At 50.9% G+C, this 18005-nt stretch overlaps 1 protein-coding gene across 51 annotated transcripts in view, besides 1 other annotated feature; it reads right to left on the bottom strand.

The window, feature by feature from the left end:
• Positions 1–1476: 1476 nt before the first annotated feature.
• Positions 1477–18005, bottom strand: part of WNK2 (WNK lysine deficient protein kinase 2) — a 136431-nt gene continuing 119902 nt past the window's right edge. For 13 of the 51 annotated variants that reach the window (NM_001282394.3, XM_005252137.4, XM_017015049.2 and 10 more), the window contains 4 exons: positions 15225–15269; positions 13462–13718; positions 4415–4526; positions 2838–4173 (listed from right to left, as the gene is read on the bottom strand). In NM_001282394.3, the coding sequence (NP_001269323.1) occupies positions 4019–4173; positions 4415–4526; positions 13462–13718; positions 15225–15269 (569 nt within the window). In that variant the 3' untranslated portion in view covers positions 2838–4018. Of the gene's footprint in view, positions 1680–2837; positions 4174–4414; positions 4527–12849; positions 13326–13461; positions 13719–15224; positions 15270–18005 lie in introns of those variants that run through there. The other 38 variants (XM_047423751.1, XM_047423767.1, XM_047423754.1 and 35 more) reach the window with 7 other exon arrangements.
• Positions 14773–15677: an enhancer, noted in NCBI's record as "H3K4me1 hESC enhancer chr9:96068651-96069555 (GRCh37/hg19 assembly coordinates)". NCBI's record gives its function as "activates a minimal SCP1, AML or CMV promoter by ChIP-STARR-seq in naive H9 embryonic stem cells {active_cell/tissue: H9 hESC(naive)}" and the evidence as "EXISTENCE:reporter gene assay evidence [ECO:0000049][PMID:30033119]".

Genomic DNA, 18005 nt, shown 5'->3' with positions numbered 1-18005 from the left:
TGTACTACTGTTTACTACCATACTACCACCAAATTTTACCATTGACATTTATACTATTATTCACTTAAAGAAAATGATTAAAATAAATGTGCAGTTTGAAAGGCAAACTGCGGCCGGGCACGGTGGCTCAGGCCTGTAATCCTAACACTTTGGGAGGCCAAGGCGGGCGGATCACAAGGTCAGGAGTTTGAGACCAGCCTAGCCAACATGCTGAAACTCCATCTCTACTAAAAATACAAAAATTAGCCAGGTGTGATGGCGGCGCACACGTGTAATCCCAGCTACTCAGGAGGCTGAGGCAGAAGAATCACTTGAACCCAGGAGGCGGAGGTTGCAGTGAGCTGAGTTTGCATCACTGCACTCCAGCCTGGGCAACAGAGCAAGACTCGGTCTCATTAAAAAAAGAAGAAAAAAAAAAAAAAAAGAAAAGGCAAACTGCATTACTATGGTCCACAGAAAACCAGTCACATGAGCCACCAACAGAAGAGAACACAAACTAAGACCAAGGGAAGCCATGTTCCTAGCACCGTGCCATCCCTGCTCCCAGCTGAGGCTTGGAGGAGGCCTACCCTGCTGATCACACGGAGAAGAGCCAGGACTCCGAGGTCACCCGCACACAGCGGGATGGCATCTCCGACACTCCCGTGGGGAAGCAGCGTCACTGTGCCCTGAAGACTCATGTTTGAGATAGGCAGGCAGCGCTGCTCCATCAGCCGGCTGGACAGTTTTACATCTCAGGGAAGGGCACTGTGTCATGGATGTAAATGGCATGGCACAGCAATATCTGTGGTGTCTAGTGGTGATGAAGTCCAGGTGCTGTTAGTGGAGGAAATGCTAAATTGCAGTTAGACATTAATGAAAATAGAGATGCAATGCTTTTTCATTGTGATGCATGGGACCCCAAATTCTCCCTAGACCTCTGGACCCAGCATAAGGCTCCTGTGCCTGCTGGCCAGGCTAGGGTGTGGGGACCTTACCACGGCACGTTTCCTTGGTGAGGCCATGTCAACATTCCTCGTTTCTCACACTTAGGACCCCTCCCACGAGTGGGGGGTATGCAGCCCTCCAAGGAGCCAGTGGTCTCAGACCTGCCACCCCACAGCCAGAGGTTTCTGGCCCCAGGCCACTGGTGTTTTCCCTGCCAGTGCAGGTGAATTCTGGAAGGAGGGTGCCTGGGAGGTGGGTGTGGGGGTGGTGGGTGACTTCAAGCCTCCAAAGACCAGAGGGAAGGGTCTGCCTCATGGAGCTCCGTGAGCAAAGGCCAGGAGGCACCCAGGACCCCGAGTCCGTGCCAGCTGGCATCGGGGGGACTTGGAGATCAGCCTCCCCGGGGCCGCCACCTCCAGGGCCCTGCAGAGAACAGGGCTATCCTGAGCATGCCAGGGTCCTGGGAATGTCCCCCCACCCCTGTCACATCCCAGTCACCTGGCTGGCCGAGGGCCACCAGAGAGGAAATAGTTTGAAAAACCAAAGTCCTTTCTGCCCCAAAATATTTTTTATTCTTGCATTACATTTGTGTTTCCAATTGTGAATAAAAAATGCTTAGAAAGTGGTTACAAAACAGCGTGAACTGGACAGGAGGAGCAGCTGGCCCTGAGGGTCCGTCACTTCTCCACTTAGACGGCGTGAAGTGGGCCTGGCGTCTAGGCGGGGTCAGTCAGGCTTCTCACTCTCAGGATCTGGAAAACAAAACCGCGCAGCTGACTGTGGGCCCACCGCAGTGCTGGCCACTCGCCAAGGGCCAGGCCCTGACACCCTCCCAGGAGCTGCCGACGGGAAGGCTGCGCCAGCTCTGCCATGACCCACGCCCTGTGTAGATGGTCTTGTCCTCAGCACAGCCCTGGCGGCCTCTGTCACCTGGACCACCCTTCTTTGTGTGACCAGTCAGCACACTGAACGGCTGCCAGAAACCCAAACAGACGCTCTGCTCCTGTACCGTCTGGAGCATCTGGGGAGTGAGCTGCCCTCCAACACCCAAAACAGGAGGCTCTGGGATGAGTGTTCCTCCTCCCTCCATGCAGAAGCTCGAAGGCTGGCACTGCAGCTCTCTGAGGAGGTGGCCCCACAGCCAAGGCAGCCCCCACAGTGGACCGGGCAGGAGACACTGGGACCCTCAGCTTGCTCACAGTGAGGCCTGCAATGCACACGCAGGAGGGACCACAGTCAGCTCGAGGCTGTCTTTAGTGGGATGCTGGGGGGCTGGCTGCCACCATGCGCTGAGTCCCACAGGATGAGGCCCCACCCTGGATGGCCACCTTCCCTAAGGCCCCTGTGCCTACCAGAAAAGCCACTGCCCCTTGCATGATCCATGGGCAACCCCAGCCCCAAGTCCTCCTCTCAACAAGTCCAAGCTCATCTGAGGAGCTCCCACTTCCCCTGAGCTCGGCCCATCTGGAGCAAAGAGGGTGGCCCCAGGGGCTGCAGCAAGTAATGCAAACCAAGCCTCCTGGAGACAGGGGCTGCAGGTGTGTCTCGCTGACCAGGAGGCTGGCTCCCTCCATCATGGTCACAGCCCGTGGCACTGCTAAGTGTAATCAGGTGCAGAGTGGTGGGCAGCCCAGCCAGCTAACCCGACCAGCAGAGCTGACCGTGCTCGGGGCCCAGGCCACAGCTGGCGGGGGCAGTGTTGGGGGCCAGGCAGCCCTGCCAGATGCCCTGCTCTCAGACCCCTGCCGGGGACAGCCCAGCCCAGCACCCGCAGCCCCTCAGCACCCTCCTCCAGAGGTGTGGATGCAGCTGAGCCCAGAACTGGCTCCCAACTCCTGTGCTCCCTAGGAGGCTGGTTGCTTTGGATTTTATATGGATAGAGGGTAAGAAAAAGATGTTGTTTCACACTGTTTTCGAGCAAAAGTGTTTATTTTTCTCCTTCAGATATACAATCTATTGGGGATTCCGTGCCACTGACCACCATGTACAAGGAAGGGATTCACAGGCAAGGGGGACAGGTGAGGGCAGCCCCCACTTCACTCAAGGAACAGGGCAAGGGGGCCCAGTACAGAGAACAGAAATCTCTTACGACAGCATCGTGCCCTGGCAGAAGATTCTGCATAATCACCTAGAAAATTCAATTCTAACTGAATTGATGGAATAATAGATTTGAACCAAAATAATTTACCCAGTTCTAATAAGTACAGAAACTATACAATTCACAGCTGGGCAGTCCCAAGCAGTCTGCTTTCCAGTGGGAGGTGGAGGAGGCTGGGGCCTTCCCCTCCCACCAAGGGCTGTGTTGTGCCCACTGGGGACGAGTCCCACTGAAATCTCCAGGAGAAGAATGACCCCGCCCTCCGCAGAGCAGGCTTAGGGCTGGACGGGAGAGCGGTCTGCATGCCAGGGGTGAGCAGAGCCACAGGTCTCCATGGAAATCATGGAGAAGGGAGGGAAGTGGGCAGGAGAGAGGGCAGCCTCTCCAGCTGGAGGAGCTGCACTTGTCTCCACAGGGTGGGCGGGCAGCCAGGGTTTCTATGCCCAACACACACCTTATCCTCACTCACAGCAGCCCACTGGCATGGGGGGCATGTCTGCTCACCTAACGTTTTCTGGCGGATTTCTCATGGCCCAGCGCAACAACTGACATTCCCTACTGAGCAAGCAGCTCCGCCAGTGTGCCCTGCCCCAGCGTCCCGCCGTCTCTCAGCCCCTGGATGAGCCCAGGGAACCGGCACTCTACTGAGGACAAAGCAGGGCTCACCTAGCAATGGAAGCTCTTCAATACTTAAGGTAGCTAATTCAATGTTTGTAAAAGGCATTTACAACAGAAAACCAAAGATTGAACTTCAGCTTCAGATTTGTAAACCATTCACATCTCTGCAACTTAAAACAGTAAATAAAGATTATCAATGCACAAGCCAATTGCAAATGAAACCTTTTCCGATAATTTTTTTTAACATATCTTTTCATCAGGGAACGGAAAAGCTGGCATTCAAGGCACTGTACTTCTGCAGGGTGACGACAAGGTTCTAACCATCAACTCAAGTATAGGAAGTGGGTGTGGAGACGGCGCGTGGACCACAGGAACCTAGGAGCGAACAGGGTCTGAAGCCGCAAAGGAAGCAGTCTTGCTGCCCACCCGCTGTCCCCCTCGCGGCTGAGTGCTGTGCCCACAGCAGGCGGTGGGGGGGACTCGGAGGCCAAACCACACCTGGTTTCTCCGGGCGGTTCCGAGGGCGCCATCTGGCAAGGGACAGGGCAGAAGGCTACGTGATCCGCAGCCGGGGGCCAGGCATGCTGACCACAGGTGGCTGCAAGAAGACTGGCAGCACGGGCACCTGGGGGGTGTTCCAGCTGCCCTGTGCCCCCAGCTGGCCCACCTGGCCTGCCCAGGGCCCCCAGGACACTGGAGCTGGGAGCAGGCCTCTGTACTGACCCAGAGGCAGCGCACAGGGTGGGGTTGGGAGGTTGGAGAGGGCAGTACCTGGTGTGGGCACGGACAGGGTCGGGGCGGCTCCGGGAATGACCGTGGTGGACAGAGGGCCGGGCGCTGGGGGCAGACGTGGCATCCCCACTCCTGCTCGAGGTGCGGTCATCTACAAAACACAGAGACGAGAAGAGGAAGGTACACGTGGCTGCAATCAGCTGGCCTCCCTTAGTGGCCCCCAGGGTGCCACAGTTTCTCCATCCTCAGGAGGCAGCAGTCCTGGAACCTGCTGTGACAGGCACCCTCTCAGGGCTGACACCAGAATGATGGTGTGGGGCCAGGAACCATCACCCTCCCTTGTTTGCTTCCCCAAGCTGCAGCCTGATAGCCTCTAGGCCACACACCTGGGTGTCCACCAGCCAAAATGGGACTTGGAGGAGGACTAGTGGGGCCTGGACCCTGAGGGCGCATGAGTGACCCCACATGCCTCTACTCAGCCACCACAAAGCCCTCCTGCTTGGCTGGTCAGTGCCCTCACAGGAGCATGAACCACCCAGGAGCTGGCAGGAGCAGAGCCCCAGGACCTGGGCAAAGCAAGTGTGCAGGGAGGTGATGGCAAGGCAGCCCTTCCACTGTCCCAGCCCGGGGAGAAGCTGTATGCGGGGTGTGCCCCAGGAAGGCAAGGCTGCTGGCCACGGGGAGTCACTCCTCTCCACTCCAGGGAGGGCCCCACTGGGCACTCTTCACAGGTGCATGGAGGGCACTCGGTGACTTCCACAACCCTTCCTGGAAATCAAGCTCGGCAGTCAGGGGCTGGAGGGGCCTCCTTATCTGGAAGGTCCTCTATGGAACCGACAGCTGAGCCCCTGCCCACGACAAAATGCCCAATACCTCCCCAAGGTGCCTCCATGCTTCCAGTCGACACCACGGGGATCTCCAGGCGGGGAGGAAAAGGAGTCAACCGCACAGACTGGACAGAGAGAAGGAGAACTGGCCTCATGCAGATGACAAGACTGTGTATGCAGAAAACCCACAAGAATGGACAAACCAATTTCTAGAACTAATAGCAAATTTAGCACAATTGCAGGATATGGGGTACGAAAGTCAACCATAGTTTTATATTCTAGCAACAGGAAGCTGGAAAAGGAGATTTAAAGAAAAATAACATTTATAATAGCATTCCAAAACATCAGCTACCTAGGGATAAATTTAATGAAAGAGGTATAACATCTTTACACTGCAGAGAAACAAAAAAGATGCCAGTAAACGGACACTACATTCACAGGAACGCTCATGTTGTTCATATGTCAAACCTCACCCAGATAATCAACAGACTGAATCCACTCCCAGCCGAAATCCCAGTGGGCTAGCCTGCAGAAAGTGACAGGCTGTTCCTAAAACATATGGAAATATTAACGACCTGAAAAAAATCAAGAACTTCTTGAAGAAGATCAACACTGAAAGTCTTTCCTGAGCAAAGATTAAACTTCCTAGAAAACTTCAGTCATGAAGAGAGTGTGGTGTTGCCACAATGATAAGGGAATTGCTAAAGCAAACAAAATAGCAAATTCAGAAATGGACCTACACACAGACGACCACTTGACGAATGTCTGCTCAATTCAGTGCAATTCAATATGGAGAGGAAGGGGCTGGAACGATCAGATATGCAGAGAGGAAAAAAACAGATTTACCTCTGCATCAAAATATACTCAAGAGTTCATTTGAGATGGCTCATGGGATCTAAAGCAATAGCTAAAGCTGCAAAGCTTTTAGGAAAAAAAAAATTAAAATTTTTACCATTTCATGTTCACCATTAAGAAAGTGAAAACACAAACCACAGATTGGTAGACTATATCCATTATATACACACACACACACACACACACACACACACACACACACACAAGGGGTCTTCAAAAAGTTCATGGAAAAGACATACCATGAAAAAACTATGCATGACTTTCAAAAAAAATCTTTGTACCCAAATAAACTTGTACTAACTTATTGCAGCATGTCTGAAGAGGAGGTAGTCTGAGGCACTAAGAAGGAGAAGACTTCAGTTTGAAAAGAGCCCCTATCACAATAACGTGAATTCTGCCAAGCAAGAACCAACATCACATGTATGGTGAAGCTTGGGTGGAAGAATGGTGAGATCACTGATGCTTTCTGAAAAGTTTACAGGGTCCATGTCCCCAAAGAAAATAGCAGTTTACAAATGGTTGACTTGTTTTAAGAAGGGATGAGACCATGCTGAAGACGGAGCCCACAGCGGCAGGCCATCCGCATCACTTTGTGAGGAAAACACTCATCTGGTCTGAGCCGTAAGTGCAGAGGACGGGTGGTTAACAGCAGAAATAGTGGCCAACACCACAGACAGCTCAGTAGGTTGAGCTTACACAATTCTGACAGAAAAATGAAAGTTGAGCAGACTTTCCACTCAATGGGTGCCAAACCCATTGCGCCCACATCAGGCGCAGAGAAGAGCAGAGCTGTCAGTGGTAACTTTGAACAAGTGGGATGGAGATCCTGAAGCTCTCTTTGAACTATAGCGACATGAAACGTGGCTTTCCTGGTATGGTCCTGAAGACCAAGTGCAGTCAAGGCAATGGTGCTGAGGGCTGGAAGTGGTCCCATCAGAGCAAAAGTGGGCCAGTCAAGAGCACATTGTGGCAACAGCTTTTGGGATGCTTAAGGCATTCTGCTTGCTGACTTTCTGGAGGGGTAACAAGGAATGTAACATCTGCTTAGTATGAGAATGTTTAGGGAATGTTAGCCAAAGCTTCAGCAAAACCCCCCCCGGGAAAGCCTCCCCAGAGAGTCCATCTCCATCACGACAATGCTCCTGCTCGTTCCTCTCACCAAAGAAGGGTGATTTTGCAAGAGTTTCCATGGGAAATCATCAGGCATCTACCCTACAGTCCTGATTTGGCTCCCTCTGACTTCTTTTTGCTTCCTAATTTTGAAACATCTGTAAAGGGCACCCATTTTTTGTCAATTAATAATGTAAAAAAGACTCCATGGCCATGGTTAAATTCCCAGGACCATTAGGTCTTTAGGGAGGGACTAAATGGCTGGCATCATTGCTTATAAATGGCTGGCATCATTGCTTATAAATGGCTGGCATCATTGCTTATAAGTGTCTTGAACTTGATGGTGCTTGTGTTAAGAAAAAAGCGTGTATTTCTTCTTTAGTAGCTGTAACTATAGGTATGTGCCACCATGCCCAGCTGTTTTTTTTTTTTCAGACAGGGTCTTGCTCTGTCGCCAGGCTGGAGTGCAGTGGCACTATCTCGGCTCACTGCAGCCTTGACCTCCTGGGCTCAAGCGATCCTCTCACCTCAGCCTCCTTAGTAGCTGTAACTATAGGTATGCACCACCATGCCCAGCTGTTTTTTTATTTTTATTTGAGACGGACTTTTGCTCTTGTCGCCCAGGCTGGAGTGCAATGGCACAATCTCGGCTCACTGCAACCTCTGCCTCCCAGGTTCAAGCGATTCTCCTGCCTCAGCCTCCTGAGTAGCTGGGATTACAGAAGCCCACCACCATGCTGGGCTAATTTTTTTTTTTTTTTTGTACTTTTAGTAGAGACAGGGTTTCACCATGTTGGCCAGGCTAGTCTTGAACTCCTGACCTCAGGTGATCCACCCGCCTCAGCCTCCCAAAGTGCTGGGATTACAAGCGTGAGCCACTGCACCCAGCAGCCCAGCTAATTTTTATATTTTTTGTAGAGATGAGGTTTTGCCATATTGCAAAGGCTGGTCTTGAACTCCTGGACTCAATCAATCCACCTGCCTCAGCCTCCCTAAGTGCTGGGATTACAGGTGTGAGCTACCATGGCCAGCCATATATTTCTTACTTTTATCTTTTAATTCCATTTTTCTGTGAACTTTTGGAAGCCCCCTTGTATATGACAAAAGATATATGATGAACTCCCACAAATCAATAATAAAAAGTTAAACAAATCAACTTTTAAATGGTCACTATCCTTGACCAGGCACTTTTTAAAAGACGGCTGATAAGAATATGAAAATATAAGAATATGAAAATTGTTTAATTTGCTCTAAGGCAAATTAAACAATAATGAGAAACCTATTACTAGACCTCAAATTCTTTTTGCAAATACAATTTCAACTACAATGTCCTACACAGAATATTTAAAAAGTCACAAGAAAAGACAAGGCAATATAAAGAAAAACTAGGACAAAGAGCAAACAAAAACTAAAAAATATTATGTGAAGGAGATACAAGATAGAGAATTTTGGTAAAGAGTCAGAAACTTTTTTTTTTTTTTAAAGATACAGGAGATACGGTTAAAAAAAAATTCAACTGAAAAACACAATAACCCAAATTAAAAACTGAATGGATAGGTTTAACAGCAGTTTAGACACAAAGAAAAATTTAGTGACCTAAAATCTAAAGCAAATAAAACAGGAAGGTATGACTCATTCAAAGGAAAATATTTAACTGACAAAAACATGCCCAAGGAAGCCTAGACATTGGACTTAGTAAACAAAGGCTTTAAACCGACTGTCTTAAATGTGCTCGAAGAACTGAAGGAAGCCATGGACACAGAACTACAGGAAGTCAGGAAAATCACAGAGGAACACAATGAGGATATCAACAGATAGGAATTATGAAGGTGATCAAATGGAACTAGAAGAGCTGAAAATAATAACTGACACTTACAAATTCACTAGAGGGGTTCACCGGCAGATCTGAGCAGGCAGAATAAAGAATCAGCAAGCTGGAGACACTTACAATGGAAATGATCCTGTGAGGAGCAGAGGAAAAAAGTGGCAGAGTGGACAGAGCCAGAGGGTGGTCCACCATGAAGTGGATGAGTAAAACATTACGGGAGTCACAGGAGAGGAGAGCCCAGAGATGAAGGCTAACTCTTATGCTGCAGTGACTCTCCACAAGGGGGCCAAGACCATTCAAAGGGGAAAGCAGTTTTCAACAACGTCTGCTGGGAAAACTGGATATGCACATACCAGAAAAAGAAGGTGGAGCCCTGCCTTGCCTCACAAAAATCAACTCTATCCCAGCACTTTGGGAGGCCGAGGCGGGCGGATCATGAGGTCAAGGGATCGAGACCATCCTGGCCAACATGGTGAAATCTCGTCTCTACTAAAAATAAAATAAAATAATTAGCTGGGCATGGTGGTGCAAGCCTGTAGTCCCAGCTACTTGGGAGGCTGAGGCAGGAGAATTGCTTGAACCCGGGAGGCAGAGGTTGCGGTGAGCTGAGATCATGCCACTGCACTCCAGCCTGGCGACAGAGTGAGACACAATCTCAGGAAAAAAGAAAAAAAATCAACTCTAAATGGACCAAAGTTCTAAATGTGAAAGCGAAAACCAGAAAACTCTTAGTAGGAAACTTAAGGAAAAGGTTTCACAACACTGGATTTGGCAGTGATTTCTTGGGTATTTCACTAAAGGCACAGGCAACAAATGAAAAACAAGACAAATTTTAAAACTTTCGTGCATCCAAAGGCACTATCAACAGATCATATATCTGATAAGGGATTAATATCTGGATTATGCAGAAAATTCCTAAAACTCAACAATGAAAAAAACGAGCTGATTCAAACATTGGCAGAAGACTTCAATAAATACTTCTTCAAGGAAGACATAGAAACAGCCAATAAGCACATGAAAAGCCGCTCAATATCACTACTCAATTAGGAAAATGTAAAGCAAAACCACAGGATACCACTTCACACCTGAGAGGATGGCTACCATCAAAAACCAGAAAGGATGGCTGAACGCGGTGGCGCACGGTGGCTCACGCCTGTAATCCCAGCACTTTGGGAGGCCGAGGCGGGTGGATCACTTGAGGTCAGGAGTTCGAGATCAGCCTGACCAACATGGTGAAACCCCGTCTCTACTAAAAATACAAAAATTAGCTGGCCGTGGTGGCAGACGCCTGTAATCCCAGCTACTCGGGAGGCAGGAGAATTGCTTGAACCTAGAGGGTAGAGGTTACAGTGAGCCAAGATCGTGTCATTGCACTCCAGCCTGGGCAAAAGAGCAAAACTCCGTCTCAAAACACACACACACACACACACACACACAAACAAAAAAACCCAGAAAGGAAATCTTCTGTTGGCACAGATGTGGAAAAACTGGAACCTTTGTGCACTGTTAGTGGAAATGTCAAATGGTATAGCTGTTACTGAAAATAGTTCCTCGAAAAACTATCATACAATTACCATATGATCTAGCAATTCCACTTCTGGGTTTATACCCAAAAGGATAAAAGCAGGGTCTTGAAGGGATGCTTGTACACCTATGTTCACAGCAGATTAATAACAGCTAAAAGATGGAAGCCACCCAAGCGTCCACTGACAGAACTGACAGACAATCCCGTAACAGGATTCCCCTGAGAATGGATGTGGTACCAGATAAAATGAACTATCACTCAGCCTTCAAAGGAAAGGAAATTCGGACATGCTACAACATGGATGTCATCAAGGGTGCCCTTGGAGGACATTTTGCTAAGTAGAATAAGCCAGTGGAAAAAGACAGATACCGTGTGATTCCACTCTATGAGGTACATAGAGGAGTCAAAGTCAGAGAGACCAGAAGCAGAATGGAAGTTCCCAGGGGCTGGGGGAGGGACAATAGGGAGTTATTGTTTAATGGGTACAGAGTTTCACACAATAAAAAGAGATGGAGATGAACAGTGGTGGTGGCTGCACAGTATTCTGAATTTATTTATTTTTGAGACAGGATCTTTCTCTGTCACCCAGGCTGGAGTACAGTGGTACAATCATAGTTCACTGCAGCCTCCAACTCCTGGGCTCCAGCGATCCTCCCACCTCAGCCTCCCGGGTGGCTGGGACCACAGGCATGTGCAACCACGCCTGGCTGATTTTAAAAAGTTCTGATACATACTACAACATGGATGCACCTTGAAAACATTGTATCAAATGAAATAAACCATTCACCAAAGGGCACATACTGTATGATTCCATTTCTATGAGGTACTTAGAGTAGTCAAAGTCATAGAGACAGAAAGAAGGATAGAGGCTACCAGGGCCTGGGAAACCAGAGGTGCCAGAGAGGGGGCTGAGGAACTAGTGTTTAATAGGGATAGAGTTTCCCTGGGGAAGATGAAAAGGTTCAGTGGATGGATGGTGATGGTTAAACAATGCTCTGAATGTACTTCATGCCACTGAACTGTACGCTTGAAAATGTGTAAAATTGTAAATTTTGTGTTTTATATATATATATATATTTTTTTGCCATGACAAAAATAAAAGTTTAAAAAAACCCTTAACACTTAAAAGAATCCAGAACATCTGAACAACAGTTAGCACTGCTAATCCTGAATGCTGATATAGCTGGAGCCCAGGCAGCAGAGATGAGCCTGCCCAGGCTCCGGGTGCAGCCTCGCAGAGCTGTGGGACCATGTTCAGGAGTCCTGACTTTGTCCTAGAATAATGGGGTTCCACTGAGAATAAATTTGAGGACTCAGACTGGCGGAGGTGTACCTGTCAAGAGGACCCTGCAGTCATTCAGAACAGAAGTCACAGTGGCGGAGCTTGGGAGTGTGGATGTGGAGAGAAGGGAACAGATTCAGCTCCAGCATCATTGGAACAGCAACAAAGACTGACAGCCGGGTCAAGAGCCAGTCCTGGAAGATCTCCACAAACCGCAAGCACTAAGTCTGCTCTCCTACCACAGTGCAGCCACACGAAAACACACTGACAAAAGGTCATCTGAAAACTAACAACCACACTTACTTCAAATAGCAACAGAAATTATAAAATATTTTCAAACAAAGGTTAATGAAAATGCTGCACATACTTTTGGGATGCAGCTAAAACCATTAGTGGGCACTTTATAGCCTTGAATGCCTACATCACAACAGAAAGGCTAGAAATCAGTGAACATATCATAAGAAACTTTCCAGAACAACAAAATTCACCCAAAGATAGAAGGCAAGAAATAAGAAAATAAATTAATGAAACATACAATAAAGACTATCAAACACAAAATGTGTTCTTTGAATAGGCTAATAAAATGTACACCCCTAAGGAGATTGCATAAAGAGAGAGAAAGAGCGAAGGAGAGGCAGAGAGAGAGGAGGCAGAAATCACCAACATCAGGAATGAAATCAGGACATCACTGTAAATCCTGCAAATGGAAAAAATAATAGCTATTATGGATACTTTTATGGCAATTAATTTAAAATTTTAGATAAATTTAGAGGAGAGATACCAATTGTCAGAAAGGCAGAATTTAACAAAACAAAACAGAAAATCCAAATGGTGTTAAAAGTGTAGAAGAAATTGAATCCATAGTAACAACTGTACCCTCAAGGAATGAACAGGTGTGTGATAAATACAGCAAAAATATCAATTAGAGTGTACGTAGTGGGTCCTATGGATGTTCACTCTTCTGTTTGAAAAATAAATTTTAAGGTTAAAGATCATAGAGGAAAGTATCCCACGCTAAAAAATACAAAAACAAAACTCCAGCCCAGATGGATTCACAAATGACCTTTACTAAATATTTGAGATAGAAATAACACCAGTCTTCCACAAACCCCTCCAGAAAGCTGAAAAACAGCAGATGCTTCTCCAACTCGCGCTGACATCAAACAAGTTAGGTGTGAAAACCTAGGACAGCAGGTCCTCACTTCCGCCCCACATTGGCTCAGGTGCGTGTGAGCTATGGCCAGACGCTGGTGTCACTTGGGTGACATGCACACCTGCCCTGGTCTCCAGCCTGGGCACAAACAGAACTCAGGCAGAGGTGGGCCTGTCTGCCAAGACCAGGGCTACCTGCTCTGAGTGCGGGGCTTGGGCTGCCCAGGCTGGGGCTGCTGCTGTATCTGAGCTGTGGAGTCACAGCCCTGGCCTGGCCTGGCCTGGCCTGTCCTTTCCACCTGCCAGCTGCGGAGCTGTGGGTGCGTCGCTCACCTCCCAATCTGTAAAGTGGACAAGCCTAGTTCTTGGGGCTGTGGGGAGAATGAACTTGGATCATGAAAATGAAGAGCTTAACTGGACACCCCTCTGCCACACAGGGCACTAGCAAATGCTGGAGGCAAGGCTACCCCACCCCAGGAGCACCCGCCCCACCCGCCCCGCACTCACAGCCCGCGCCTCGCCAGGGGCAGCCCAGCCTGCCTGGGCCTCCATGTCTTGCAGCTTCTGGGTCTGCTTCAGCTGGTTGAGCGTGGGCTTCAGCTGCGCGGCCCCCACCGTCTTGCTCGTCCACTCGTCCACCAGCTTGTGCAGGTCGTCCGTGAAGGTACCCTTCTTGTTGTTGCTGTTGTTCACCTGCGCCTGGACGTGCAGGGCGGGCTGGGGGCCTGGCTCAGGGCCTGGGGCCAGGCTGCTGGTGGAGGACCCTGGGGAGTCACACACAGGCCAGGATTGGTGACGCCACACACGCACCCAGGCCCCCAGTGGGCTGGCCGCATTCATTCTTACGTGACAGCTGAGACAATGGTCTCACTTGGGCCAGGCAGCACCTTGCTTCAAGAGGCGGTCGGATTAAGGGGCCTGGCTGCCCAGGGTCAGACATGGTGGGGCATTTCCATGGGCTGTGCCAGGTGGCCATCACCCACCTCAGAAGCCAGGCCAGGGGACAGGACTCTGCAGCAGCCGGCAGCCTCTGCTCAGCATCCACTCTGTGCCCACCGCTGCCCATCCCCAGACTCACGTGTGAGAGAGCTCAGGAAACTCCTGGCACAGCCAGACACACTGGGCTTCGGAGTCATGGTGCCTAGAGTCAGGTTCCTCGGGCTCTCTCTGGCCTGTGCATCCTCAGCCGTAACATGAGGACGCGGGGCGGTGGAGTACCGTGTGCAGAGCGCTCAGCACACACGGCGGGCTGGCCTGCAGGCAGCCCCCTGGCCCACGGGAAAATGCCTGCCAGGGCTGCCTGACTTGCATTCCCATGAATTTTAATGGTCTGGTTGTTTGGAATTCCAGACATAGAAATTGTCCTGACCAGCGCATTCGCATTCGAGGAAGGTATTCATAAAGGGTACCCATGCCTGGGGCTGCCTGACGCGGCCCCACCAGCTCCTGCCATGGGCTGCGGCCAAACGCCCTGCTGCAGGAGGGAGCTGGGAGCCGCTCTGCTGACCATTAGCACACCAGAGCACTCGGCTGCTTCATTCAAAGTGTTTTTTAAGGGACTAAAATGAGACTTTAAAAATTTTAAATCATACCCTTTCCAGGCAACACATGTAATTTCTCGTTGGCAATTTTGAATAAGCCAATTCAAAAATTTTCTGCATAGAGAAACAATCTAATGACCATCTCTTCAAACAAGCTGTCCCAAAATGTAGTGGACTTTAGTGGCTAGCAATGAAAAAGCACAGACACAGACAATTAAAAATTAGTGATGAGATTTGACACACATGGAGCTATTCCTACATGAAAAGTTCAGCCAGAAAAGAAAAAAAATATTTTTTCGAGAGAGAGAGATGAGAGAGAGAGAGAGGTGAGTGGCCCAAGGAGACTAATACCCACTCAGTCCTGGCATCTCTCCTCGTGGGGAGGCACTCATCTTTAGGACTTCAAGGAAATACTCATTCCTACGGTTTTGGAAAAGGAGCCAATTAATGATCGGCAATTTGCGGGTGTTCCGGGGAAGGATAAGCCCGTTAGATGTGAACTGGCGAGACCGCACAAACTCTAGGCGCCACGAGACACACGGGGGAGCCGAGGACAGCGATCCCGCCAGGCAGAAGCGAAGCAGTGCCCGGCCGAGAGGCATGGAGCAGGCGCGGGGCAGGCACAGGGCAGGCCCACGCCCGCCCGGCCGCGGGAACCCTGATGTGCGCTAGCCACGAGAAAGCCCATGCGATGAGAGAGGACAAAGGGGAAAAAACCCGGATAATTACTACTGCTGTGTTCTTTGCCTAGGCAGAGACGCTTCAGGGCAGACCCTGCAAGGGAAAAAGAAACGACACAAGACCACAGGGTTAGGCAGAACAGCACACACTGGGACACGCTACCACACTAAGCAAAAGTCGTCAGTGTGCAGGGAGGGGCAGACACAGGCAGCAGTTCAGAGAGAGGGCCGACCCGGCCGGGGGAAACGGGGCAGCCCCTGGAGAGAGGGTGCAGGCTCCCACGAGCTTCGCCGAGGGGGCAGAGGTGCCAGGGCCAAGCCCCTAAGCTTCAGGGAGAAGTGTTTGTCTCTAGAAGCATATTCTAAGAAAAGTAAAAGAGAAAGAAAAAAGAAAAGAAAAAAGAAAAAAGCAAAGCACACCGCTTGGCTTTCAAACATCAGGCTTCTGGGAGCCCCACTGATGGAGGCAGGACACCCTGCTGAGTCGGCCACGGGAGCTCTGGAATGGAGCTGGGCACAGCTGGGCTTGGCCGCCGAAGCCCATCGGAGGTTTTCCAAGTGCAAAAAGATACATTGTTTTGCAGGTTGGAGGCCAAGTCTGGATCTCAGATGGCTGCCTCAGATGAGGTCAGCGGCAAGTGTTGAGTAGGGGACTCGAGGGTTTCTATCTAGGGGCTGACCTCAATGTCTGGGGACACTACCGCCTCATTAACAAGTCAGTATCCACAAGGGGTAGGGCAAGGCCTCAGCCTGGAACATTTCTGGCCTCCTTCTAACTGGGACCACCACTAAACCGACTGGTCCCAACTACCCAGAGGGCACCTGGTATACACTGAATGCAATGTCCTAGCCAGTCAGTGCCCAGCCTGGTGGGGACAAGGTCCCCAGGGCAGGCTGGGCCGGAAGGCACGGCCATCCCTGCTTATCCTATAGGCAGGCAGAGCTGGGACGGGCAAGCACAGGCTCAGACTTCCCCAAGGTCACTCGGCAAAGCCTCACTAGCACAGAGGCTCTGTCTACACTCCAGCCCACGGCCCCTTGCCAGGAGCACACTCCCTCCGCAGCAGGAACACGCTCCTCAGCGCTGTTCCCGGGAGACCTAAAAAGGAGCGACTCTGATCTTGCAGGGACTCAGAAAACCTGGCAACGTCTGCCTTCCTTCTCCAGAAGGGCTCATGCCTCCTGCCTCGGGGGACAGCGGGCAACTTGTCGTCCAGCTCCTTGGCCCAAGCTCGGCCTGAGTTGTGCATCCTGGACTTGGAAACCTAGCTCAACTATTTTTAGTCCATTCTGTCTGTTCCTGAGCTAGTGTGGGGAAAGGTGAGGTGGTGTTCTGTTGCAGACTTTACTGTTCTAATAAAAAGGAGGGAGCCCAGCGGGAGGGATCCAGACCAGTGGGCTCTGGGTGAGCAGCTCCGAAGGGCTGTTCCCTGGCTGCTCTGTTCTGAGATGAAACCCTGCCAGGAACACAGAGCTGATATCCCCTCAATGGCTCACTCAAGTTTACAGGGGAGGTATGGCTGGTTTTCTGTAGTGCAGGAGGGGCCCCTGAAGTCTGTGATGCAGGCTAGGCTAGGATCCAATATGTAGGGGCACTGGGTGAGCACCAATTTCCCTGGCAGGCTTTGTCGGGGGCTGTGGCCCATGGTCCCATGTAGACAGTCCTAAGCCAGGTGCTTCAAAAAGCTGCTCTGTGTCTATCTGGCAGCTCTTGGTGTGGCTGGAACTCTACATTCAGTGCTAATTCCTGGCTGTTGCCATGCTGGGAAGAACACCATCAAACAGGCCGGCTGCCGGCTGGGAACCACCAGAGGGAGCCTGGACCTGCGATCAGAGCTGGGACTCACTCACTGTCCTGGGAACCTGGGGTCTGGAGTGTCTGGAGGACACGGCACCTGCTCAGAGCCAGGGAGCAACCCTGGCCCACGGAGGCCTCCACGGGCCCTTCCTAAACTTGGGCCCCTCCTAAACTTGGGCCCCAGTGACCAGTGTGCAGACGGCTCCTAGACCTCCAGACAAACTGATGGGTGCCAGTCTTTCAAGGCCATGCTGTCGGACGCCACTCACTGCAGACAACTGGGCTGGGGCAGAGACCTCCCCACACTCTGGACAGCCCTGCCCGTCCTTAGGTGGCTCCTTAGTCCACCTCTCCAGAGCCTCGGCCTCGATTGGGCCCTGCCCCTCACTTGCCCACCATGCAGATGGCACCCAAAGACAGCCCCCACCTGGCCCCCTGCCACTCGCTCTGTGCCAGGAAAAGCACCCCCACCTCCTGTCCATAAGGCAGCAACGGGAGAACAAAGGAAACTTTCAGGAGGCTGCCAATTGACGCCAGGCCCACCTCGGTCTCCCTGTGGGGCTTCCATCCCCAGCCAGGCCCAGGAAGAGGCGGCGCCAAGGCCCTGGACTGCTCAGTGGTGCTGGGGCGGGGGCTTGGCAGCCTCATCCCAGCTGTTGGGGGATCCGCTGCTTTCTTCCCAGAATGTAAAAGTGGCAGCACACAGGACGACAGGAGGGCCGGCTCTTGGACTTGGCATCTCCTGCTTTTGTGCAGCCGACATCAGCTGAAGCCCCCCAGGCGCAAGTGGAGGCTCCCTCCCCACTCCAGCCATGGCACAAAAACAGCCTGCTCTTGGGTCAACGGCCCTGCCCTCTGGGTAGCCCGAGCACCTGCCCCATCCAGACCCTCAGCCTGTGGCCAAGAAGACATCTCAACCAAGAAGGATTCAAACTGAGGGTGTGTGCCTGGGACAGGGGGACTAAAAAGTGGTCAGCCCCTGAGCAATCCCCACATTCGCTTTTCACCTCACAGGGCTCAATACTGCCCAGG

The sequence above is a fragment of the Homo sapiens genome, chromosome 9 (assembly GCF_000001405.40).
Source record: "Homo sapiens chromosome 9, GRCh38.p14 Primary Assembly".
NCBI classification, from domain to species: Eukaryota; Metazoa; Chordata; class Mammalia; order Primates; family Hominidae; genus Homo; species Homo sapiens.
This window is presented reverse-complemented; position numbering and strand designations above follow the sequence as displayed.